General features: G+C 56.0%; 1 protein-coding gene and 1 non-coding gene across 7 annotated transcripts in view, besides 16 other annotated features; both read left to right on the top strand.

Annotated features, from left to right (window-relative positions):
* Nucleotides 3,687-4,496: an enhancer, noted in NCBI's record as "H3K4me1 hESC enhancer chr3:50263389-50264198 (GRCh37/hg19 assembly coordinates)". NCBI's record gives its function as "activates a minimal SCP1, AML or CMV promoter by ChIP-STARR-seq in naive H9 embryonic stem cells {active_cell/tissue: H9 hESC(naive)}" and the evidence as "EXISTENCE:reporter gene assay evidence [ECO:0000049][PMID:30033119]".
* The window catches only part of GNAI2 (G protein subunit alpha i2), a 32,295-nt gene continuing 14,079 nt past the window's right edge, over nucleotides 4,798-23,013 (top strand). For 2 of the 6 annotated variants that reach the window (NM_001282619.2, NM_001282620.2), the window contains exon 1: nucleotides 4,798-4,923. Coding sequence is in view for 3 of the 6 variants with exons in the window: in NM_001282620.2 (NP_001269549.1) it covers nucleotides 4,854-4,923 (70 nt within the window). In the remaining 3 variants the exon portion in view is untranslated. Of the gene's footprint in view, nucleotides 4,924-8,266; nucleotides 8,729-12,925; nucleotides 14,184-23,013 lie in introns of those variants that run through there. The other 4 variants (NM_002070.4, NM_001282618.2, XM_047447979.1 and 1 more) reach the window with 3 other exon arrangements.
* Nucleotides 5,009-5,378: a silencer, noted in NCBI's record as "silent region_14385". NCBI's record gives its function as "represses an Ori minimal core promoter by ATAC-STARR-seq in GM12878 lymphoblastoid cells {active_cell/tissue: GM12878}" and the evidence as "EXISTENCE:reporter gene assay evidence [ECO:0000049][PMID:35858748]".
* On the top strand, nucleotides 5,166-5,220 carry MIR5787 (microRNA 5787). The gene has a single exon (NR_106714.1). It is a non-coding gene; the product is annotated as a microRNA 5787 (primary transcript).
* Nucleotides 8,287-8,516: an enhancer, noted in NCBI's record as "active region_19890". NCBI's record gives its function as "activates an Ori minimal core promoter by ATAC-STARR-seq in GM12878 lymphoblastoid cells {active_cell/tissue: GM12878}" and the evidence as "EXISTENCE:reporter gene assay evidence [ECO:0000049][PMID:35858748]".
* Nucleotides 12,591-13,201: an enhancer, noted in NCBI's record as "H3K4me1 hESC enhancer chr3:50272293-50272903 (GRCh37/hg19 assembly coordinates)". NCBI's record gives its function as "activates a minimal SCP1, AML or CMV promoter by ChIP-STARR-seq in primed H9 embryonic stem cells {active_cell/tissue: H9 hESC(primed)}" and the evidence as "EXISTENCE:reporter gene assay evidence [ECO:0000049][PMID:30033119]".
* Nucleotides 13,202-13,812: an enhancer, noted in NCBI's record as "H3K27ac-H3K4me1 hESC enhancer chr3:50272904-50273514 (GRCh37/hg19 assembly coordinates)". NCBI's record gives its function as "activates a minimal SCP1, AML or CMV promoter by ChIP-STARR-seq in primed H9 embryonic stem cells {active_cell/tissue: H9 hESC(primed)}" and the evidence as "EXISTENCE:reporter gene assay evidence [ECO:0000049][PMID:30033119]".
* Nucleotides 13,202-14,141: a biological region, named in NCBI's record as "H3K27ac-H3K4me1 hESC enhancer GRCh37_chr3:50272904-50273514".
* Nucleotides 13,682-14,141: a silencer, noted in NCBI's record as "silent region_14386". NCBI's record gives its function as "represses an Ori minimal core promoter by ATAC-STARR-seq in GM12878 lymphoblastoid cells {active_cell/tissue: GM12878}" and the evidence as "EXISTENCE:reporter gene assay evidence [ECO:0000049][PMID:35858748]".
* Nucleotides 15,667-15,746: an enhancer, noted in NCBI's record as "active region_19891". NCBI's record gives its function as "activates an Ori minimal core promoter by ATAC-STARR-seq in GM12878 lymphoblastoid cells {active_cell/tissue: GM12878}" and the evidence as "EXISTENCE:reporter gene assay evidence [ECO:0000049][PMID:35858748]".
* Nucleotides 16,255-16,864: an enhancer, noted in NCBI's record as "H3K27ac-H3K4me1 hESC enhancer chr3:50275957-50276566 (GRCh37/hg19 assembly coordinates)". NCBI's record gives its function as "activates a minimal SCP1, AML or CMV promoter by ChIP-STARR-seq in naive H9 embryonic stem cells {active_cell/tissue: H9 hESC(naive)}" and the evidence as "EXISTENCE:reporter gene assay evidence [ECO:0000049][PMID:30033119]".
* Nucleotides 19,268-19,317: a silencer, noted in NCBI's record as "silent region_14387". NCBI's record gives its function as "represses an Ori minimal core promoter by ATAC-STARR-seq in GM12878 lymphoblastoid cells {active_cell/tissue: GM12878}" and the evidence as "EXISTENCE:reporter gene assay evidence [ECO:0000049][PMID:35858748]".
* Nucleotides 19,548-19,607: an enhancer, noted in NCBI's record as "active region_19892". NCBI's record gives its function as "activates an Ori minimal core promoter by ATAC-STARR-seq in GM12878 lymphoblastoid cells {active_cell/tissue: GM12878}" and the evidence as "EXISTENCE:reporter gene assay evidence [ECO:0000049][PMID:35858748]".
* Nucleotides 20,418-20,557: an enhancer, noted in NCBI's record as "active region_19893". NCBI's record gives its function as "activates an Ori minimal core promoter by ATAC-STARR-seq in GM12878 lymphoblastoid cells {active_cell/tissue: GM12878}" and the evidence as "EXISTENCE:reporter gene assay evidence [ECO:0000049][PMID:35858748]".
* Nucleotides 20,418-21,207: a biological region, named in NCBI's record as "H3K27ac-H3K4me1 hESC enhancer GRCh37_chr3:50280231-50280841".
* Nucleotides 20,529-21,139: an enhancer, noted in NCBI's record as "H3K27ac-H3K4me1 hESC enhancer chr3:50280231-50280841 (GRCh37/hg19 assembly coordinates)". NCBI's record gives its function as "activates a minimal SCP1, AML or CMV promoter by ChIP-STARR-seq in primed H9 embryonic stem cells {active_cell/tissue: H9 hESC(primed)}" and the evidence as "EXISTENCE:reporter gene assay evidence [ECO:0000049][PMID:30033119]".
* Nucleotides 20,848-21,207: an enhancer, noted in NCBI's record as "active region_19894". NCBI's record gives its function as "activates an Ori minimal core promoter by ATAC-STARR-seq in GM12878 lymphoblastoid cells {active_cell/tissue: GM12878}" and the evidence as "EXISTENCE:reporter gene assay evidence [ECO:0000049][PMID:35858748]".
* Nucleotides 21,140-21,749: an enhancer, noted in NCBI's record as "H3K27ac-H3K4me1 hESC enhancer chr3:50280842-50281451 (GRCh37/hg19 assembly coordinates)". NCBI's record gives its function as "activates a minimal SCP1, AML or CMV promoter by ChIP-STARR-seq in primed H9 embryonic stem cells {active_cell/tissue: H9 hESC(primed)}" and the evidence as "EXISTENCE:reporter gene assay evidence [ECO:0000049][PMID:30033119]".

Raw genomic sequence — 23,013 nt, forward strand, 5'->3', positions numbered from 1 at the left:
GGCCAGCTCTGCTTGCCCAGTCAGGCCTCCTCCAGCCTGACCATGGGCAGCAGGCTCCGGCAGGGAGGAGGCAGGTAATGTGACCACTACACTAGATTCAAGAGCCAAGTGTCCACATGACTGTTTGAAAATGAGTATCCCTTGTCCCTGGCTGTTAAATTCCAGACACTTGGCCTCCATGATCTGCAGGCCCTCAGGCATCATTAATCATTTGAGTATGTGTTGAAAATTTTTCCAGTTTTTTTCCTTTGTTACCTTTTAAAAAATTGTTCTGGGGCCGGGCATGGTGGCTCACACCTGTAATCCCAGCACTTTGGGAAGCCGAGGTGGGCAGACTACTTGAACTCAAGATTTCAAGACCAACCTGGGCAACATGGTGAAACCTCGTCTCTAAAAAAAGAAAAAAAAATTGAAAAATTAGCAGGGTGTGGTGGCTCATGCCTGTAGTCCCAGCTATTCAGGAGGCTGAGGCAGGAGGATCACTTGGGCCTGGGTGACTGAGGCTGCAGTGAGTTGTAATTGTGCTACTGCACTCCAGCCTGGGCAACAGAGCAAGACTCTGTCTCAAAAAATAAATAAACAAACAAATAGATAAATAAATAGTTCTAGGCCGGGTGTGGTGGCTCACACCTGTAATCCCGGCACTTTCGGAGGCTGAGGCAGGCGGATCACCTGAGGTCAGGAGTTCGAGACCAGCCTGACCAACATGGAGAAACCCCGTCTCTACTAAAAATACAAAAAATTAGCCAGGCATGGTGGCGCATGCCTGTAATCCCAGCTACTTGGGAGGCTGAGGCAGGAGAATCGCTTGAACCCGGGAGGTGGAGGTTGAGGTGAGCCAAGATCAAGCCATTGCACTCCAGCCTGGGCAACAAGAGCCAAACTCCATCTCAAAGAATAATAATAATAATAAATAAATAAATAGTTCTGGAAAAATTGTTCTGTTTGGAATATTGATAAGTTAGAGCAGCCTGAAGGTCCAGCACAAAGGTCTTCTATATTTCTTTTCACTGTTTTTCTTATGACTGCTTATTATAGAAAAATAAGAGCAGGAAGGGGGGCAAAAGCATGGGTCTCAGTCTCCCTGCCCAGCAGCTGCCCTTGCCCACACCCTTCTCACCTGTGTGCACAAGCACACATTTGCCTCTTGACTCATTCATTCATTCATTCAACAAGTATTTATTGACAGTTCCTACACGCCAGGCACTCATCTAGCACCTGCAAATAAAGCAGTGAACAAAGTGAAGACCCTGGCCTTCCTTGAACTTACTGTCCAGGATGGGGATTAGATCCAAAAAAGCAGCATTAAACCTAACCACTAAATTCTATCATGTGGTTAGAAGATGCTCAGTACTACAGGGAGTAAAAGCAACAAGATAAGAAAAATGGGAGGTGGGGGACGGGGGTCAGAGTGGGCCTGAGAAAGGAACTTTTTTTTTTTTGAGACAGAGTCTAGCTCTGTGGTCCAGGCTGGAGTGCAAATGGCATGATCACAGCTCACTGCCGCCTTGAATTTCTAGACTCAAGGGACCCTCCTGCCTCAGCCTCCTGAGTAGCTGGGGACTATAAGCACATGTCACCACTGCCTGCTTATTTGTATCCTATTTTTTTGTAGAGACAGGGTCTCATCATGTTTCCCAGGCTGGTTTCAAAGTCCTGGTCTCAAGCAATTCTCCCATTTTGGCCTCCCAAAATGCTGGGATTACAGGTGTGAGCCACCGTGTCAGGCATAAGTCTAAGTTTTAAATAGATTATTCCGGCTGCTGCATTAAGACTAGGCTCTGGGTGGGGAATGGGGGGCAAGGGTGACACTGACACAAGGGCTCCTGTAGTTATTCCAAATAATCATGTTGCATGTCTTAGCCCAGGTGATGGTAGAGGCAGGATGAGGCACTAGGCTTGTCCTAAAGGTAGAGGTGGCAGGCTTCCCGGATGGTTCCAGTAGGGGAGGAGAGGCAGAAGTAAGTCAAGGGTGACTCCAAGGTTGTCTAGTGATAGAGGTGCCACTGCAGGAGGCTGGAGGAGGAGCAGGCTTGGGAGAGAGATAAGTTTTGTCCATGAAGAGTTTAAAACATTGACTGGACATCGGCAGGGCATGGTGGCTCACGCCTGTAATCCCAGTACTTTGCGAGGCCGAGGCGCGTGAATCACAAGGTCAGGAGTTCGAGACCAGCCTGGCCAACATAGTGAAACCCCATCTCTACTAAAAACTACAAAAATTAGCCAGGTGTGGCACGTGCCTGCAGTCCCAGCTACTCGGGAAGCTGAGGCAGGAGAATCGCTTGAAGCCGGGAGGCGGAGGTTGCAGTGAGCCGAGACCACACCATTGCACTCCAGCCTGGGTGACAGAGTGAGACTCCGTCTAAAAAAAAAAAAAAAAAAAACATTGACTGGACATCAAAGTGCAGGTGCCGAGTCAACTGCTGGGTGTATGCGTTGAGTTCAGTAGAGTGGCCAGTGATGAAGCTTTGGATCTGGGAAGCAAAGCAAGTGGTGTTTAAAGCCATGGGATGGGAAGAAGCTAAGTTCAGACAGAGGAGGGCGGCAGTAAGCACTGAGCCCTGGAAGATGAGGCAGAACCAGCAAAGGAGCTGGGCGGGAGTAGCCAGGAGGTGAGAGGAAAACTGGGAGAGCATGGGCACCTGGAGCCAGGTAAGTGTCAGATGCTGCCAAGGAGTTGAGGGTAGAGGATGGACCACTGAATTCGGACACCTGTGGATCCCTAAGGACCCTGACCAGGGCACTTTTGTGAGGGAGGGACAGGCCTGCCTGGAGTGGGCAGAGGAGAAAGTGAGGTAGAACTGGAAAGAGCCAGTGTAAACAACTTGTGTGAAGTGAGAGGGGCAGAGCCAACAGTGGCTTTTAAGAAAGACTGGAAAGTTGGCCGGGCACGGTGGCTCACGCCTGTAATTCCAGCACTTTGGGAGGCCGAGGCGGGTGGATCATGAGGTCAGGAGTTTGAGATCAGCCTGGCCAACATGGTGAAACCCCGTCTCTACTAAAAATACAAAAATTAGCCAGGTGTGATGGCGCACACCTGTAATCCCAGCTACTCGGGAGGCTGAAGCAGAATTGCTTAAACCTGAGAGGCAGAGGCTGCAGTGAACCGAGATCACACCACTGCAATCCAGCCTGGGCAACAGAGTGAGACTCCGTCTGTGGGTGGGAGGAAGAAAGACTGGAAAGAAGAAGGTATTGAGGTGAGAGAATGGAAGCAGCTGGTAGGAGGGTAGGTTTGAGCTCAGTGAAAGACTTCCAGGATGGGGGTGCTGGAAACTGAGCTGGAAAACAGTAGACAGAGATTGGATAGTGGGGGTCTGGACATCAGGGAGTGTGCAGCTTGGCCACTGACCTGCCTGGTCAAGTGCTGGTGGCTAGGGACACAGCGGGTCCAAGACGCAGGCAAGGATGGCAAGGAGCCGTGGAGAGACCCAGGGGACAATTCAGATGTCTGCCTAGGCCAGGTGTGGTGGCTCATGCCTGTAGTCCCAGCACTTTGGGATTCACTTAAGGTCAGGAGTTCAAGACCAGCCTGGCAACATGGCAAAACCCTGTCTCTACTAAAAATACAAAAATTAGCCGGTCATGGTGGCACACACCTGTAGTCCCAGCTACTCTGGAGGCTGAGGCACCTCCAGAGAATCGCTTCAACCCGGGAGGCGGAGGTTGCAGTGAGCCGAGTTCGCCATTGCATTCCAGCCTGGGCTACAGAGCAAGACCCTGTCTCCAAAAAAAAAAGAAAAGAAAAAAGATGTCTGCCTGGACCCTAGTTTAAAGTCACCCAGCAACTGACTTTCCAACAACGCGGAGCAGTAATAATTGACTGAAGGTTGCTTAGAAAGAAGAGCAGCCCTGGAAAAATCTGAAAGCATAAAACTACTTTCCAACCACACAAGTCTACAAACCGCCTGGCTACACACACAGGATTAGCCAGCGACCTAATCCGCCAAGCTATGCAAAAGGAGGCCTCTGCTGACCCCTGGCGGTCACCAGCCGGAGTCTGGCTGCGCGGTGACCCACCACACGTTGCCCAGCCGTGTGGCTGGGATGGTCGGTACCCATGGCCGTGCGGTCGAGCCTTGATGCTCCAGGACAGTCCTGGAAGGCTTCCTGGCAGATCCGTGGGAAGAAAGCCGACAGAAGGGCGGGAGGCGGGAGGGGAAAGGTCCCCCGGGATGGGTAGGGCCTCAACGCTGGGCATCGGCGCAGGTGTGTACTGCAGGGAGCCAGCCAGACCCCCCACGGACTGCCTGACCTTGGGGGAAGCCCGGAGTAGAGGAAGAGGCCGGACCCCCAGACCCGCCATTGACTATGTCCGCCATTGACTATGTGTTCTGAGAGAAATTTTTTTTTTTTTTTTTGAGACTGAGTCTCACTCTTTCGCCCAGGCCGGAGTGCAGTGGCGCGATCTCGGCTCACTGCAAGCTCCGCCTCCCGGGTTCACGCCATTCTCCTGCCTCAGCCTCCCGAGTAGCTGGGACTACAGGCGCCCGCTACCGCGCCCGGCTAATTTTTTGTATTTTTAATAGAGACGGGGTTTCACCGTGTTAGCCAGGATGGTCTCGATCTCCTGACCTCGTGATCCGCCCGCCTTGGCCTCCCAGAGTGCTGGGATGACAGGCGTGAGCCTCTGAGAGCAAATTTTACCCAGTTCCTCTCTATCCTCCCGATGACTCTGAAATCAAACTCAGCAAGTCATCCGAGCCCCCACGGCGCAGCGGCCCTAGGCTGGCATGGGCGATGCGGAGCTACTCCGCCCTCAGGAAGCAGGCGAGGTGCCCAGCGGGAGAATCACCCACATCACCGTCTAATCTCTGCTGTGAAGTGGAAGCGCGAGAAGGAGGGAGCGTCTCATGACGGAGGGTGTGAAGACGCTAGGCTGGACGAAGCAGAAAGGCGGGTGTCACTGGGGACGTTCTGAGGGTAAGCCGATGGCGGCTATCGCGGAGGAGACCCTGGCGAGGTGGGGCCCCGCGCGGGGCAAGGGGGATGGGGTGCCACAGAGGGCTAGTTGCAAGAGGACGCGTGACGGCTGCAGCTCTGCGGAGACCGGGCCTCGACGGCCAAGGAGTGGCAGGTCGGCGGAGGCGGGGGCCAGGCCCGGAGGCAGAGCGAGACAGGAGAGCAGGCAAGGCGGGGGCCACCGTGAGTGGGGGCCGCGAGGCGGGGGCTGGGGCGCGGGGAGGTGCTAGGTCGGCCTCGGCTCCCGCGCCGCACCCCAGGCCCGCCAGGAGGCGCCGCTGCCCCGCGAAGCCGTTCCGGCCTCTCCCGGCCACCGAAATCCCGCGCTCCGGCCTAGAGAGGCCCCGGAAGAGGCGGTGCAGCGCACCCCGAGGCCGCTTCCGGCTTCGGCTCTGCAGGAGAGGCCAGAATCGGGGGAGGACGCCTTGGGCGGGGCGTGGGTGAGAGAACCTGGGGGAGGTGAAGAACTAGGAGGTTGCACTGGGAGTGGACAAGGGGGAAAATAAGAATTAGGGAGGGGCTGCGGTGGGCAGGGCCAAGGGCAGGTAGCACCCTGCAAGGTTGCACCCTGCGCAGCTCTCGGTCCACTGCTGAGCCTCCTGGCTTTTTACCTCGCAAAATGCCGTCCTGGTGAGGTCCCTGGGGAGCCCACCGCTGGCCAAGACCCAGGACAGGGCAAGGAAGGCTTCCTAGAGGTAGAGAGGTGCACAAAGGCGGGAAAGCAGATACGGGGACATTGGGAGCCCCTTTAGACCGATCTTTAGGTGTCTGAGCCACGCCCATTTGGAGGGAAGGCTGAATGGGGACCAGCCCGCCCAAACCTGCTGGAGGAAACAAAAACTCACTCCCGTTATAATTGCTCCCCGCCCCCTCACCAGCTCTCTTCTCCCCGGAGACGGGACAGCCCTGTCTCCACAGGCTTCACTCCATTTCCCTCGAATGGTGCCCACCTCCTATCCTCCCATCTCTCTTATCCTCAGGTTCTACTACTCATAGCAACCAGAAGGAACTTTAAAAATCAGATCATGTTGGCCGGGCACGGTGCACGGTAGCTCACGCCTGTAATCCTAGCACTCTGGGAGGCCGAGGTGGGCGGATCACCTGAGGCCAGGAGTTTGAGACCAGCCTGGCCAACATGGCAAAACCCCGTCTCTACCAAAAATACAAAAAAATTAGCTGGGCGTGGGGGCGCGCCTTGTAATCCCAGCTACTCAGAGGCTGAGGCAGGGGAATCGCTTGAGCCTGGGAGACAGGCTGCAGTGAGCCAAGATCGCGCCACTGCACTCAAGCCTGGGTGACAGAGCAAGACTCCGTCTCCAAAAAAAAAAAAAAAAAAAATTCAGATGATGTCATTCTGCCTTCAACACCCTCCAGTTGTTTCCTTCATACTTGGAATGCAATTTAAACTTTCTTGCCCCATGGCCGGGATGATCTGGCCCCTGCTGACCCCTGCCCCCTGGTACTAGCCCACAGCCTGTCCTGTTGGCATGGCATGCCATGCTGGCCCTCACATTAGGGCCTTTGCACTGGCTGATAGCTTTTCAAAAGCTTTTTCTCCAACAGCCTGAAGTCACTCCTGACAAGGCCCACTTCCCTAACTCTGTCTGCTTGGCCTTGATCGCAGTATTTGCTCCATACGGTACAGGCAGAGCGATGCTTGTGCGTCCAGAACTCAGTGACCAGCTTCCCTCCCGCAACAGGTCCCTCCTCCCCTATTACTCCCTTGCTCCTAGTCACAATCTACAGGAAGCCCCTGAGCCCAGCTGGCAAGGTGCACCTTGCTTGGCTGTTTGCTGTTGCATCACCTTCATTAGGGCTGTTTTTGCTCCTTCATTAAATTAAATTCCAGGAAGCAGTGCTAATGACAGCCCTAACGAGTCACGGGAGAGGCTACCAGCCCCAGCCTTTGGAAAGCATGGCAAGGAGGACTAGGCAATAACATGAACAAAGCAGTAGCTCCTGGGAATAGAATTGATTATCATTTCCCAGGCCCCCCAAGGACCCTGGGCTTCCCAGGGGAGGTGGCCTTTGGAGACTGCCTATGCAACAGGCACAGTGGCAGGTTGTACCATGAACTCTTCAAGGACAAAGAAAAGGAGGGAGGTTAAGTTTAGGCCTTGGCCCCAAAGCCCTGAGAGCTCCTGAGTTCCCTGCAGGGCTTGGGTAGCTCCTCCCCAGTCATACAGGAACACCCTGAATGCCAGAACCAGTTGGGTTTGTAGGGCTAGGTGTGGATCACTGGCTTGGAGATGTTGGTGCCCCTACCTCAGCATCCCCTGGAGACTTTGGAACCCCCTGTGTGGCTTGTTCCTCCATGATGCCTCATGGCAGTCCCCTCTCACACCAGTCTTCTCTTGCTCTCGCTATTCTGGCCCGGCTGGACTCCTCTCTGGTTTGGGAGCATCCAGCTCCTTCCCAACCCAGGGCCCTTGCACTTGCTGCTGCCTCTGTCGTCACTCTCTTCTGGCTTGTTACAAGACTGGTCCTTCCACATGATTCAAAGATCCCCTCCTCAGACTATCTTCTCCTGCACATACCTCCCAGTGGCTCTAGTGTCACCCTGTTGATTTCCTCTGAAATGGTGAAGTTCATTTCCCTGTTTGTTTGGTGTGTGTTCCTCAAGGACAGGGCCCAGCTGCCTCTTTTACCATAGGGTTCTCAGCACATTGGCAGGCAATATGTTCAGGGAACAGTGGTTGAACAGATGACCCCTTCCTCTGGATCCTCCCGCACTGCCCCCCAGCCGCCACCCCTGTGTCAGGTTGGGCCCCCTTGCCTAATCCAGAAGCTTATGGGGAAGGGGTGCTGGGGCCTGAATTCTCCAGGTCAAAGCCAATGATCTGTGAAGAGGGTGGATGACCAGAAAGGGGGACTTTGGGATCCAGGACCCCCAGGCTTTTGAGTTTTCCTCCTGGACGAAGAGAGGCCTGGGAAGAGGGGTCTGCAAGGGAGCAGGGAGGGAGGGCAGGATGGCTGACTCCAGTTTCAGAACTTCCACTGGGCTAAGAAGCAGGAAGGGGAAAGCGCAGGAGTTGAACCAGGAAGTAGAACCTGCCCCAGGGCAGTAAGGCGGGAGCAAGCTGTAGCCACGAGGTCTACAAGCAGTAGCTGCAAGGCTGTGATTGAGTTGGTCACAGGTCCTTGGCCAGGGACTCCCTGTCATCTGGGAGCCGTGGAGGTAGGGTGGTCAGGATCCTGAACTCTGGGCATCCCTGTGGGGTCCTACCTAGTCCTGGACTCTGGGCAGGGACAGGCACACCCACCCCGAAACTGCCTTTGGGGAAGTGCTAGCAGCTTCCCCTTCCTAGAGCCTGCAGGCAAGCATGTCACAGCCCACTGAGAGGGTCTTCATTCCTCAACCTGCTCAGGGCTACTGCTCGATAGGAACTCAGGCCAAGCTGGACCTGCTGTGCTGCCTGTGGTGAGCCCCAAGACTATTCTGGCAGTAGGGGTGAACCAGCAGCTGCCACTTCTCCATTCCAGCTGAGGGGCCACCCTCAACTCTGCTGATGTCATTCCATTGTCCTTTATGGTCTAGTCCAAGCGGTGCTGGGCCTGGTGGGCATGGGGTCAAGTCATGCCTCCTCTGGTGCTCGTGAGGCCCTGGCTAGGCAGCTGCCCTCTGCCCCCAAAATGAACTCTCCTGAAAGGACTCCTGGATTCCTGAGTATGAAGAAACTGAGATGCCCACGATGTACCTCACTGATGACTGTGACTGGCTCCTGGCCCACTCTGGACCTCAGCTGACTCAGCTGCAAAGCAAGGGGTTTGTTTCTTCAGCTCTCAGCCTTAATTTTCTCGCTAGCCCTTCCCCAGACCCCTGCCTCTCAGACCTACCACCCTACCTTTGCATGTACTCTTCCATCTTCTTGCAATATTCTTCCGCACTGTTCTTCTCCCTCTAGCACTCCCTGCATCACCTCCTCAAAGAAAGCTTCCTGACCTTCCCAGGCACTATTGGTTTCTCTTTTCTCTGCGTATACAACTACATGAATATTTCCAGAGGGGCAGCAGCTCCCAGCTCCAGGATGAAGAGATTGATTGATGGATTGATTGATTGATTTTGAGACAGAGTCTACCTCTGTTGCCGGGCTGGAGGGCAATGGTGCGATCTCAGCTCACTGCAACCTCTGCCTCTTGGGTTCAAGCGATTGTCCTGCCTCAGCCTCGCAAGTAGCCGGGATTACAGGCATGCGCTGCCACGCCCAGCTAATTTTTGTATTTTTAGTAGAGATGGGGTTTCACCATGTTGGCCAGGATAGTCGATCTCTTGACCTCATGATCTGCCCACCTCAGCCTTCCAAAGTGCTGGGATTACAGGCTCGAGCCACCGCACCCGGCCTTATTCATTTAAGTTGATACATATTTACCTGCCACCCTGCAAGGGGCCTGGAATTAGGGATATGAGTGGGAGAGACCCACGACCAGAATAGTGGGATCTGGCTGGGGAAGGGGAAGCCCGAGGACAATGGGACTCAGAGAAGCCCAGCTCACAGCCAGGGAATGAAAGGTGGGGAGGAGGGATTAATTTAACAGGGTAGGGGGATGGGAGGGAAGATCGAGGGATGGAGAGAGCAAGGCAAGCCAGATGGTTGGAGTGCCAGTGTGTTGCAAGTGGAGGGACATGAGGTGGACCCTTGAGTGGGGACAATCATAAAGCCTTACAGAAATCGCTACTATTGGGCCAGGCACAGTGGTTCATGCCTGTAATCCCAGCACTTTGGGAGGCCAAGACGGGAGGATTGCCTGAGCCCAGGAGTTTGAGACCAGCCTGGACAACATGGTGAGACTTCATCTCTATTAAAAAAAAAAAAAGGGCCGTGCACGGTGGCTCACACCTGCAATCCAGCACTTTGGGAGGCCGAGGCAGGCAGATCATCTGAGGTCAGGAGTTTGAGACCAGCCTGGCCAACATGGCAAAACCCCATCTCTACTAAAAATACAAAAATTAGCCGGGTGTGGTGGCAGGCGCCTGTAATCCCAGCTACTTGGGGAGCTGAGGCACAAGAATCACTTGAACCCAGGAGGCGGAGGTTGCAGTGAGCCAAGATCATGCCACTGCGCTCCAGCTTGGGTGATAGAGTCAGACTCAGTCTCAAAAAAAAAGAAATCACTACTATAACACCTCACCCTTATTGAGGGCTTTCTATGTGCCATGCACATTCTGCATGTTTTACATGTTTCCTCCTGGAGTCCTGACCTCTGCCTGTGCTTTGGGTATGTATAACCGTTAGGCCCATTTTACTGATAAGAAAACCGAGGTACAGGGAGTTTCTGGTACTTGTCCAAAGTAACAAGTAGCTGGCAAGTTTGCAAACTGCTCCTCAGAGTCTTTGCTTCCAACTGCCAGCCTACAGCCTCCAACTGCTGCAGAGTCCAAACCAGTGTGTGTGGGGGCTTCATCTATTCTCAGGGCATTGGGGAACCACAGAAAGTTTCCGAGCAAGGGGGTGATGTGATTTCTTTCAGTAGGATGCCCTTGGCTGCCATGTGGAGGATAAATTGTAGGGAAACAGGAGAGCCAAGGAAGACGTTAGAATCCTAGGCTGGGAGATAGTGGGGACAGAGAACAAATACAGATTGGAGGGGAAATTGAGGTAGGGAAGAGGCTGATGGCATATAGGGGTAGGGGAGGGGGTCATTGCTGTGGCTGGTGGGGGGATCATGAAGTGGTGGAGAGCCTGGGAACAGGGGCCAGTGGGATGGGATGTACCCAGTTCTGGACAGTGTGGATTTGAGGTGCCTGGGTGTCTCGGGGAGGCTTCAGAGCAGTGGTGGACATGGGGCTGGCAATCAAAGAAGTCAGGCTGGAGAGGACCTTGTGGGGTTCTGAGCCCCCAGAGTGGGAGGTGTATGAGTGGAGTGGCAAGCAGAGGCCTGGCCATAGCCCTGGGGACCCCATGGAGATGGAGAAGGAGCAGCTAGCAGGGTGGAAGCAAGGGTTGCTGGACTCCCTGGGAAGAGCATAGGACTGGAAAGGAGCAGCTGACTGGCGGGAAGGGTGCCATAACCACAGGACCTGGCCTGGGGCTGGGGAAGGCCATGCCTTCCAGTAGCCCCATCTTGCCCTGCCTCCATAGATTGGGGTCTGTGTTGCGCCCACCTACTGAGAGCTGGGCCTCCAAGGGGCTGACAGGTTCTCCCTGTTGCCTGGCAACTGTGAGAGCTGTTGGCTGTTGCTAGGAGCAGGCTAGAGAGGCCAGAGGAGCGAGGATCAGCTCTCAAGCCTGGGGCAGGGTGACAGGTAGAGGGAAGGGGAGGGTCCCACCTTGGAAGCCAGTTTGTAGTCTGTGCGTGGACAGATTGTATTCTTGGCCATGTGTACCCATTTTTGTAGAGTGTGTTCTGTGGATCTGAGGCATGTTGGAGACTGACCTATGTGTGGGTGTCTACAGCATATCTGTGGCCCTGGTGGACATTATGTGTCCTCAACATGTTGCATGCCCATGGCAGGGCCTGCTTGAGCTTCAGAGCAGTGGTGGACATGGGACATCATATCCTATGTCTCAGGACAGGAGGGGGGCCTGAGGGAGTCATTGGAGGACTTCCAGGCCAATGACCCCTCAACAAGAGAGACATTCAGATAGGGATATGCAGACACTCCAGGGAGAACAGCCAGCCTGGGGATTGGGAGCTGGAACAAAATGTGTAACAAGGTTCTTTTTTTTTTTTTTTTTTTTTGAGACGGAGTCCTGCTCTGTTGCCCAGGGTAGAGTGCAGTGGTGTGATCTCAGCTCACTGCAATCTCCAGTTCCCAGGTTCAAGTGATTCTCCTGTTTCAGCCTCCTGAGTAACCAGGATTACAGGCACGTGCCACCACGCCCAGCTGATTTTTTTTTTTTTTTTTTTTTTGAGACGGAGTCTTGCTCTGTCACCCAGGGTGGAGTGCAGAGACAGAATCTCAGCTCACTGCAAGCTCCGCCTCCTGGGTTCACACCATTCTCCTGCCTCAGCCTCCTGAGTAGCTGGTACTACAGGCGCCCGCCACCACGCCGGCTAATTTTTTGTATTTTTAGTACAAAATACACCGTGTTAGCCAGGATGGTCTCCATCTCCTGACCTCGTGATCTGCCGCCTCGGCCTCCCAGTACTGGGATTACAGGCGTGAGCCACCGTGCCCGGTCTTTTTTTTTTTTTTTGAAATGGAGTTTCACTCTTGCCCAGGCTAGAGTGCAATGGCATGATCTCAGCTCACTGCAACCTCCGCCTCCTGGGTTCAAGTGATTCTCCTGCCTCAGTCTCCCAAGTAGCTGGGATTACATGTGCCCACCACCACACCCCGCTAATTTTTTGTATTTTAGTAGAGACAGGGTTTCTCCATGTTGGTCAGGCTGGTCTCGAACTCCTGACCTCAAGAGATCTGCCTGCTTCAGCCTCCCAGAGTTGCTGGGATTATAGGCATGAGCAACCATGCCCAGCCAAAATGTGTACCAAGGTTCTAAGGAAGGGGTTTATGCTAAACACCGGGCTGTTGGTGGCAAGCACCCTGTCTTGCTTCAGGGGCCTTCCCTTTGGGCTGGGGCCTCCTAGCCTCATGGCACTGGGGTCACACAAAATGCCTTCGTGGTTAATTTTTGGCAGACCCTTCAAATGTCCAATCGAGGGTGGGGCTCTGGGCTGCTCCTGGAGCACAGGATCAGAAAGACTTGAAATGTTCAGCTAGAAACACTGCTGCTTCCACCCCACCTTTGCCTGGCCATAGGGTTGCAGCCATTGCCCAGTGGGGACAGGCCACAGGAGGGTGGGATGTGGGATCATGGCCACCTCCAGACGTGGACAGGCCATGGAAGAGACAGGTCATAAGATCATGGCCACTTTTGTTTCTAGAAGTCCAGTGGCAACTTCTTCCTCTTTCTTCCCTCCCAACCCCCTCACCCTGCCTGCCCGCCCTCCTCTCTTCCTCCCTCTCCACCCTCTCATCCTCTCTCCCTTTCTCCCTTGGGTCCTGATTGCCTGGTCCCAGATTGGAGTCCAGGATGGCTGCCTGCCGAAGAATGCCTCCCGGTAGATTGGGGAAGGATGGATATGAGAAGCCACCCAGCTAAAGGAGACAGCCTAGGCAAAGGTGTAAAGATGGAAACCAATTTTTTTTTTTTTTTTTGAGACGGAGTCTTGCTCTGTCGCCCAAGCTGGAGTGCAATGAATGGCGCGATCTCGGCTCACTGCAACCTCCGCCACCCGGGTTGAAGCAGTTCTCCCGCCTCAGCCTCCTGAGCAGGTGGGATTACAGGCGCCCACGACCACGCCCGGGTAATTTTTGTATTTTTAGTAGAGATGGGGTTTCACCATGTTGGCCAGGCTGGTCTAGAACTCCTGACCTCAAGTGATCTGCCCGCCTCGGCCTCCTAAAGTGCTGGGATTACTGGCGTGAGCCACTGCGCCCGGCCTTTTTTTTTCCTTTTTCGACTAGCTGCAACCCAGAGGGAGAAGGCGGTAAACCCGCCTTAAGACTGAGAAAACCGCAGTCCAGAAAGGCTCCCGAGTTCGTAGATCCCAAAACAAGTTTACTGGACTCATTAACTTTAACAAATGACAAAGACACGCCTCCTCCACCTAACTCGCCCAACTCGCAGAAGCTCAGAGGGCTGGTTCCTGCTCTGCCCTCGAGGGCACCGGATCCCCACCCTCGGGTTAACAGATCCGCCCTCCCGGCTGTCCAGCAACAGAGCTCCCGGCGCTCCGCACCCAATCACAGCCCGGTCCCGCCTGCAGCCCGCCCAGTGCCGGGTCCCGGGGTTTGGAACCACCCCTATTGCCTTTTCTCCGCGTGGCCCCGCCTGCAGCCCAGGCCCGAGCCTGGGCTGCGCCTAACTTCCCCCTTCGCTCCGCCCTCGAGCCAATCAACAGCCTCTAATCTCCTCTGGCCCCGCCTGCAAGCCCGCCCCGGCCCAGTCACAGGCTTGGTTCGCCCAGGCCCCACCCCCGGCCCGCCCCGCCGTCGGTGCGCGGCGGTAGGGAAGGCGCCTCCCGCAGTCGCTCGGAACTGCCGACCCGAGTGCTTCCCGCAGAGGGCTGGTGGTGGGAGCGGAGTGGGTCGGGCGGGGCCGAGCCGGGCCGTGGGCCGTGTGGGGGCCGGGCGGCGGCCGGGCCGGCGGACGGCGGGATGGGCTGCACCGTGAGCGCCGAGGACAAGGCGGCGGCCGAGCGCTCTAAGATGATCGACAAGAACCTGCGGGAGGACGGAGAGAAGGCGGCGCGGGAGGTGAAGTTGCTGCTGTTGGGTGAGGCCGCGTCCCGCACTGGGATCCTTGATTCCCAGCTCGAATCCCCAGACAAGGACTTTGACCTCCCAGACTAGGGCTTCAAACTCCCAGACCCGGGCTGTCTGGGACCCCACACCTGGGCCAGGACCAGGGTTGAAAACTCTAGATTGGACTAGACCTTTGATCCTGCCCAGACTCTAGACCAGACCCCTGTCTCATCCCAGACCCCAGACCTCCAAATCCAGTCAACAGTGCCCCAACACCCGCGGTCCAGTGCCCTGCTTGGCCATCCCCCCTTGCTAACTAGCTTCACAGAACTTCAGAGCCCCGCCATCCTTCCCTACACTTTGCCCAAACCCCCAGGATGCCCGCCACTTGTTCCCCAACCCTCAGGCTCCGCTTGTTTTCCTCACCTGCGCCTTTTATTCCTATTGGGCATGAGCATCCCGCGGGGCCCCTGCCAGGCCCCCCACCCACTCCCTCCTTCTCCTTCTGTGCCCCATCCCTAGTCTGGAATCTGTATCCTCCACCTGTGCACTCTGACCCAAGGAACCTCTCGAGTGGGAAACTGCTCTTGAGCCCCATCTCCAGCTGGAACCCCTTCAGCGAGCCCTGCTCCCTGCTTCCTGCCCTCCAGATCCTTCTCTGCAGGCATCACTCCCGAAACCCTCTGCTGATCCTCCCCTAAGTCCTCTTACACTCTGGCCTTCCCCAGATCCCTCCACCCTTCCTGCACCAAGTGGGCTGGGCTAGGAGGCGGGAGCCCTGGGTTGGAGAGGGCCTAGGCTGCCTTATGCAGAACCCCCACGGGGCTGGATTGAGGCTCCACTGGTCACGCTGGGGGAGGGGGCCAGGCCTCAGGCTTCCCAAGGAGGCTCTATGTTTTCCAGTTTCGAAGGCCAGTCTGGGAAGTAGGAGAGAGAGTGGAGGAGTTAGGGTTGTGGCCGCCTCCAAGGCCAGAAAAGATGGTGGCTGCTAGAGGAGTGGGGGGAAGTGGAAGTGGTGAGACAGCCGACATATTGCTGCCCCTGCGGGTGAGCCCAGGAGATCTGCTAGTAGGTGCTGGGCTGCCCACACCCCTTCTGGGCTGCAAGGCCTGGGATGTAGCCTCTGAGAGTTGGGGGGCTTGTTGGATCTTGGGACCCTGTGAAGGGGGATGGTGGACTAGCTGAATGAGGAGTTGAGGGGCCAGCTGGGGGTGGGCCAGGGTGCCTCTGAGCATCCCAGCTGGCCTTTTGCAAAGACGGTGGGCCTACTGGCTGTCCCCATCCAGCTTCCCACTGGAAGTAGGTGTGGTGCCCAGTGGCAGTCTAATTTTGATTTGGGGGTTTTAGAGTTGGGGGGAGGGAGGCCCTTGCAACAGCGCAGCACCGTTGTAGGCTGAGAAGTGCATGGGGGGGTGTGGCCCCTCGACTTCAGAACTGTCATAGGGCTCCCAGGCTGTGAAAAGCAGGGCTTTTCGTGCTGGACCTGTGGCCGAGGAACAGCATGTATGTCCATTATGGGCCATCTGTTGACTGTCCCTGCGGACCCGGCCTCCGGGGCACAGCCTTGGAGGTTTCAAAATGGCATCCGCTTCGCTGCTGCCTCAGGGAGGAAGAGAAGGGGCGGGAAGGGGCGGCGGCCCAGCCTCCTGGGCTGCTTTGCGTTGGGCGCTTGCCTCTTCCTGTCTCTGCTGTGAGTGCGGCAGCGGCAGTGAGTGGGTGTCGACGCGGCGGAATGCCCGTCGCTGCTGCTGCTGCTGCCCGACGGGCCTGGGGAGGGCACTTCCGGTACCGCTGCCTCCCAGTGCCCAGCCAGGAGTCTCTAGACAGCCTCTCCCCAGGCGATTGCAGTTACTGTGGTGGCCGAGGAAATGCAAGACTGGACCATAGAGCTGGGGGAACGCAGGGCTTCTGGCTAGTTTTGTGTCCCGACACCAGAAGGGTCCCCCATCCCACCAGGCCTGCTCCTTGGAGCCCAGCTCACCTTTTGGGCTAAGGCAAGTGAGACCTGGTAACTCCTCCCACACTGGGCTGGCAGCAGCCAGGGGTGCAGGGTCTGGCTTAGCACTTTCTAGCCTGGGAAGTTCACCCTGGGGTCCTGGCCTTCTGGCCTTTGCTTACTCTGTGAAATGGGCTTCCTGGGTTTTGGCCAAAGGAGTGCCCCAGGTCAGGATGGGGAGGGAGAACAAGAGCCTCCTGGTGGTTCTTGTTGGGGATGTAGGTTGGGAGTAAAGACCCTGCAGTGTGCTGCAAAGGGCTCTGACCAAGCTCTGCTTGATATTGATGACCCAGTCTGCCATGGCTGCCTGGGGAGGGATCCTGGCTTGAGCCATGCCTTTCCCATCCAGGTGCAAGGTGGTGATGGGAGCCCAGCTGTGGTAAGTTCAGAGTTCTGGGCGCCTGTCCCATGTAGCGGGAGACTTTGTCCAGGCAACGGGACTCAGGTTGGGCAACTGCCAGCCTTCCCTCCCAGCCAGAACCACGCCTGCTGCCCCGCCCGCACACCGCCTCCCTCCCATCTTGGGTAGCCCTGCCAGCAGGCAGGCACAGTCCTTGTCACCAGGGCAGAGGCTGATGTGGTACACACAGGCAAGAGAGTATTTCCTGGCAACTTTGTAGGGGGAGCAGATACCAGTCCTATTCTAGGGATGCTCCCCACTCCTACCCAGCTCAACGTGACTGATCAGCTAGGCCCAGGTGGAATCTGGGACCCTGGTCTGGGCTCTTAAGGGAAAGGAAGCCAGAGTGTATGTGAGGGGGGAGAGTCTCTGATTTGGGATGGGCCTGTGTGGACAGCTTCACAAAAAAAGGAGACAGTGTCCACCATTGGCTCCATAAAGGCTTCAGAATGTAAACAGAGCAGTTCTCTCTTGCCCCTGGAACTTTGTGTGTGTTGTTCCCTACTTGATTGTTCTTTAAAACTTTACTCTGGGATCACCTCCCAGGATCCTTCCTGGACATCCTCCCTCGACCAAGGCTGGTGAAACATCTGGCTCCCAGCGCTGTTGCTTCCCCCCTCAGATGCCTGGAGACTGCAGGGCAGGGCTAAGTCCTCTTCATTTCTGTGCCCAGCATGGAGCCTGGCATCTACTGGGTGCTTCTCATCTGTTTGTTGAATGAAGGAAGTATCCTCTGAACCTGATTTTGGGTAGATGGTGGAGTAAACTGAGCGGCAGTTTGCATACTGTGGGCAGGTGGCAAGGGCCCACAGGCCCACCACAGGATTGGTGACCAGCATTGAGGGGACACTGAGAAAAGTTCTTCAGGCTGTTTCTTCCCAGCCCCGCCACAGGCTATGCTGGCACCTGAGAGAGTTCTTATCCCACCCTGTGCGGAACTCCTGCTGAGCAGAGTGGCTTTGTATTCTTCCTTCCAACTCAGGCTGTTGGTGCACTGCTAGAGGGCTGCTGTCTCTGACACTGCAGTAGCCACAGTCGAGCTTGAGCTGGCTGGTCCAGCAGGGGCTGCTCCGCAGCCCTGGGGCTCAGACCAGAGCAATGCTGTGAGAGTCCTGGTACTGGCCAGTGCAGAGACTGCACATAGCAAGGGCTCAATGAAGTTTACCAAAAGAAAAGAAAGGGGGTTTTGTGGCCTCTGTCCTGTCTGTGTCTCTTGCAAAGGGCTGGCATACTATAGATGCCTAATGAGGGTATATGGACAGAATGAAGTGATTGAACATGTCCATGAACAGGGCAGAGCTCCTGGGAGAGGAGTAAGTATAATCCTGGGGCAGCCACTGGAGCCTGGTCTAGCTAGAGACAGATAGGAAGGGTTAGCTTGGGATTCTGGCTGGCTGGGTAGTGAGTTAGACTCTAATGGTGCCTGTGAAGGGGGGCTTCCTGGAGGAGGGGGTCTGCTGGGCAGCTGTGAAGGATGAATACCATTTGCCAGGGCCAGGCACTGGGGGTCAGAGGGACCAACTCGACAAGAACACTGCAGCAGGAAGACTTGGCCTGTATTCCCAAGAGCTTGGGTGGGTGTTTCCTGGCCTGGTGGGGAAAGGGCCACCCTCCCTGGACCAGCCCATGGGGTCATCCAGACCTGAGTTCGAATCCCAGTTCCACCTATGGCACTGGCTGAGAGACTCAGCATCAGGTGAAGCCCTGGCAGGAGTCCTGCTCTCCACTCATAACCTGGGGGCAGAGTGCCTCCCTGCAGCCACAGGTTATGGGGACAGTCTACCAAAGCTTGGAGGTATGAAAAATGGGTGAGGGAGGCCAGGCGCGGTGGCTCACACCTATAATCCCAGCACTTTGGGAGGTTGAGGCAGGCAGATCACCTGAGGTCAGGAGTTCAAGACCAGCCTGGCCAACATGGTGAAACCCCGTCTCTACTAAAAATACAAAAAAATTAGCCAGGTATGGTGGTATGTGCCTGTAATCCCAGCTATTCGGGAGGCTGAGGCACGAGAATCGCTTGAACCTGGGAAGTGAAGGTTACAGTGGACCGAGATGGTGCCACTGCACTCCAGCCTGGGGGACAGAGCAAGACTCTGTCTCAAAAAAAAAAAAAAAAAAGAAAAAAAAAGAAAATGGATGAGGGACCCACTGCTGAGAGTTTGGTGGGAAGGAGTCTCCCATCCTAGAGGCTGCCTGGCCTGGGTTTGGAGCCCTAGGGAACCCCCTCCCCTGCCCTCAGGCAGCTGTTCACAGCAAGTGGGGAGCCCAAGGCGTGCAGATAGTTGGTGCCAGCAGGAGTGACAGACTGCCCTGGGGACCTTAGGCCCAACCTCTGGGGGTCTAGGTTTGGAGATGTGGTAGGGCCCTGGGTGCCAGGTGGGCCAGTACCCACCCAGGCTGGCCTCCAGCCCCTACACTCTACCCCAGCCCTCTCCTTCACTGCTGGAGCTCATTAGCACTTGAATGGGGGGCGGGGCGGCTTGGGCCTCTGAGTCTCTTCTTCCCACCCCTCCCCCAGGCTTGTCGGGGCTTTGTCTGCAGGAGCAGGCAGGGATAGAGCTCCCACACTAAGGAGTGAACAGGGGTCCAAGCTATAGCTGACCCCCTCTGCCTGCATCCTGCCCAGTTCTGCTAGGCTCAGCCCCTGCCTCTCACGCCAGTGTCAGTGCAGCCAACATGAGGTCATACCTCTAGGGTAGGAGTGAGACTAGGTCCTTTAAGGGATACCTCTGAGCTGAGAGACTAGGTGAATCAGGGCAGCTGGAGCTCAGCTGGGGGCATCCCAGGCGGGTTGGGGAGAGGAACCCCAGACAGAGGGCAGAGCAGGTGTGAGGACAGAGAGAATGAGCCGCGCTGCTGTGGCAGGAGGTGGAAGTCAAACCAGTTGCGGGACACAGGCTTCCATGTCAGAAGCCCTGAGGCAGCATCACACCACCCACTATGTGTCAGAGCCTAGGCTGCTGGATGGGGCCTGGGGATGGTCCGGGACCCCTTTGGCCCTGGGCAGCTTGTCAGCGGTTGGCCCTGGGTGGCCTGAGAGGTAGGGTCACTGAGTGCCATCACTGATGTCCCAGGCCCTTGAACATCAGTTTGCCTGGCAAGTGGCAGCAGGTAGTGCTGAGGGTGGGGTGTGGTCAGGTCCCAGCAAGGTCCCTAGGCCTCCAGCACTGCAGGGGGTGGGGCAGTAGGTGCACTTGGGGCTACTTGGGCCACAGGCAGACACACAGGTCCTGTATACTCTGCCGTTGATCTTAGTTCTTGGTCCCTGGCTGTGACTCTCTCAGTCTGTCTCTAAAAGCCACCCATTCACTTGGCGGGAACAGGATGGAGGAAGCTTTGTCCACCCAAGCTCTTAGCCACTGAGGAACCAGGGACTCCCCCCACCCCACCCACAGCAGAGGAGGAGACTGTCACCCCAGAGCCTGAGTGCTGCCTCCCCTACATCCCGTTGTGCTGTGGGGGGAGGCAGGACCGGGCAGATGGGGGCAAGGTACAGGCCAGGGAGTAGTCTCATCTTCCCAGCATCTCAGGCCAGGAATCCCAGCCTAGGAGTTGAGCGAGGAGGGGAAGGGGTCAGCAGGTTCTGGCCAGGCCACTGCTGATACACCCTGCCTAAGAGTGCTCTGCAAGGTGCTTTGGGGAAGGCAAAGGATTGGGCCCTTTGATGGTGTCCCTGGTACCTGATGCTCTCAGGCAGCCCTTCCCTCAGCTACAGGTGCAGGGTGGAACCCCGTCTGCCCAGCCCCACCCAGCCCTTCTAGCTTGAAGCTCTCGTTCTTACTAAACCCCAACCCCACCCTCACCCTGATGTTACTTCTTGGGGCTGTGGCTGCTCTTGGTGGCTGGGGAGGAAGAATCTTTCTGGAATAACCAAACATTTGCTGGGCTGGTTCTTCTGTGCCGGCCTCTGTGCACATTTACAAGGCTTGAAAGGCAGCACCACACCAGTCTGAGCAAAGGCCTAAAGGTGGGGTCATCTCAGCCTTGTTGGGGAGAAGATATCCTTATGGCTTGGAGGAATCTGGGGGCTCCAAGGCTGCTGACAGCCTCAGGATATGCAAAGGAGGTGATGGCAGCACCTACTGTGTGTGCCCCCGGCGGGAGGAGGAGGTAATGAAGTCTGCACGACATGGCAGGGCAGGGCTGGGCCTCTCGGGGAAGTGGTGTCCACACCAGAGGAAAAGGAGGAAGCAGCTGGGGGAGGAGGAGCCCAAAAGAGGAAGAGGCCAGAGGGCTGCCTGGTGCTAGGGTGGGGGTGAGAGCCCAAGGGCCCCCCAGGGCTTTGCCAACTGGAAGGGTCTAGGAGGTGAACACCTGCCCAGGCTTATCTTTGCACTCCTGTGGGCCATTCTAGTGGCGGTCACTGAGTTGGAGCCAGTCCAGGTAGCTCTGTACCTTGTCCCACCCCAGCAACCATCGGGCCCAAGATCCCAGAGAAGGTGGTGCCTTCGAGAAGGATTCCAGGCCCCTTCTTTGGCCACAGGAAGTTGTGGCTGGGAGAAGGACGCTGGCGGGAGGGCTAGCAGGAAGGCAGAGGGCTGCTCTTAGATTCCCGAGCGGCCATTGCTCTCCAAAGCCGGAAGGCCAGCCACAGGCTGAGATGAATGCCTGGAAATGCAGCAACAGCCCCGAGATGAGCTCACTCTGGGTTTCCCCTGCTGGGGGGCGGACAAAGGATCCCTGGCCTCAGCCTAAGGATTCTCCCCTACCAGCACCCACTCACTGGGTCTAGGGCTGCATTCACTGGGCCTGTTTCCCCTCAGGTGATAACCACAGCTGTCTCTGATTGAGCCTTGACTGTTGTGTGGAGCTGAATTCTTCATTATCTTGTCATATTTAATCCTGTGAGGCTGGGACTGATATTACACCCATTTCACTGATGGACAAACTGAAGCTCAGGGACTTTATGCACTTAAACAGGGAACAGAGATGTCAGGACATGACCCATGTAGTGATTAAGCGCCTGCCTCCAACTGCCATGGCCCTTTGGGAGTCTGTGCTGGCTGGAAGTAACGGATCAGGCAGGACAGCAGGCAGACGGTGTGGGTGCGTGTGTGTTCTGCCTGTGCCTATGGGCCCTGGCTTTCGGGCCTCAATTCTTCTTTTAGGAGGCGGAAAGGGAGCTGTCTGTCCTGGAAGGTGGGACCCAAGACTCTGTGTATGAAGCTTTCTACAGCCATGTGGTCATGGGGGACCCCCTCCACTCCTTTTTTTTTTTTTTTTTTTTTGAGATGGAGTCTCACTCTGTCACCCAGGCTGGAGTGCAGTGGCATGATCTCGGCTCACTGCAACCTCCGCCTCCTGGGTTCAAGCGATTCTCCTGCCTCAGCCTCCTGAGTAGCTGTGACTACAGGTACGTGCCACCACGCCCAACTAATTTTTGTATTTTTAATAGAGACGGGGTTTCACCATGTTGGTCAGGCTGGTCTCGAACTCCTGACCTCAAGTGATTCGCCTGCCTCGGCCTCCCAGAGTGCTGGGATTACAGGTGTGAGCCACTGCGCCCGGCTGCAGCTGCACCTTTTGACTTCCCACTTTTTCTCCTAGTCCGTATCCTCTCACAGTGATGCTCAAGTTATAGCTGGCAATTTAGGACTTCATTCTTTCCCTAATATTATGCTTGTTCTCCCATAAGCCCCAGTCTTAGACTGAGACCAAGCCTGGGGAAGGCTCAGAAGCTATTGAAGTCCATGGTGAGGGCCTCTGAGACTGGGAATTGTCCAGAGGAGTGAAATGAAAGCATGTTCCTTAGGGCTGCACTGTGAGCACAGGCTCAGTGCTGGGTGCACGTACGGTACTGTGTGGTGGTAGAATGTGGCCATGGTGTTGGCTGATGACTGCATGATAGTTGTTGAGGCTGGTTCCTCTTGCTCCTTGGCCTCCGAATCTCAGTGCTGTGGCCTAGTGGGGCCTTGCCCTCTCTTGTAGGGGTTCCTAGGGGTTCTGCTGTGTTGCCAGGCCAGGCCGTAAGGGACTGAGGGGGCTGAGGAAGGCTTAGGAGAGCCAGAGCAGAAGCGTCCAAGCCTCTCTGGGCCATGAAGCCATGCACAGAGCAGAGACCCGTGCATCCTCATGGCCACCCAAGACTGTGGGTCCCAGAGGGTCCAGTTCCTCACCATGAGACCTCAGACTGTCCTCTTCCCTCTCTGTATCCAGCACTAGAATCTGTGATGCTGTGATTTTTTTTTTTTTTTTCTGAGACTGAGTTTCGCTCTTGTTGCCCAGGCTAGAGTGCAGTGATGCAATCTCGGCTCACCACAACCTCCGCCTCCCAGGTTTAAGTGATTCTCCTGCCTCAGCCTCCAGAGTAGCTGGGATTACAGGCATGTGCCACCATGCCCGGCTAATTTTGTATTTTTAGTAGAGACAGGGTTTCTCCATGTTGGTCAGGCTGGTCTCGAACTCCTGACCTCAGGTGATCCGCCCACCTCAGCCTCCCAAAGTGCTGGGAATACAGGCGTGAGC

Source organism: Homo sapiens, chromosome 3, assembly GCF_000001405.40.
Source record: "Homo sapiens chromosome 3, GRCh38.p14 Primary Assembly".
In the NCBI taxonomy this organism is placed as follows: domain Eukaryota; kingdom Metazoa; phylum Chordata; class Mammalia; order Primates; family Hominidae; genus Homo; species Homo sapiens.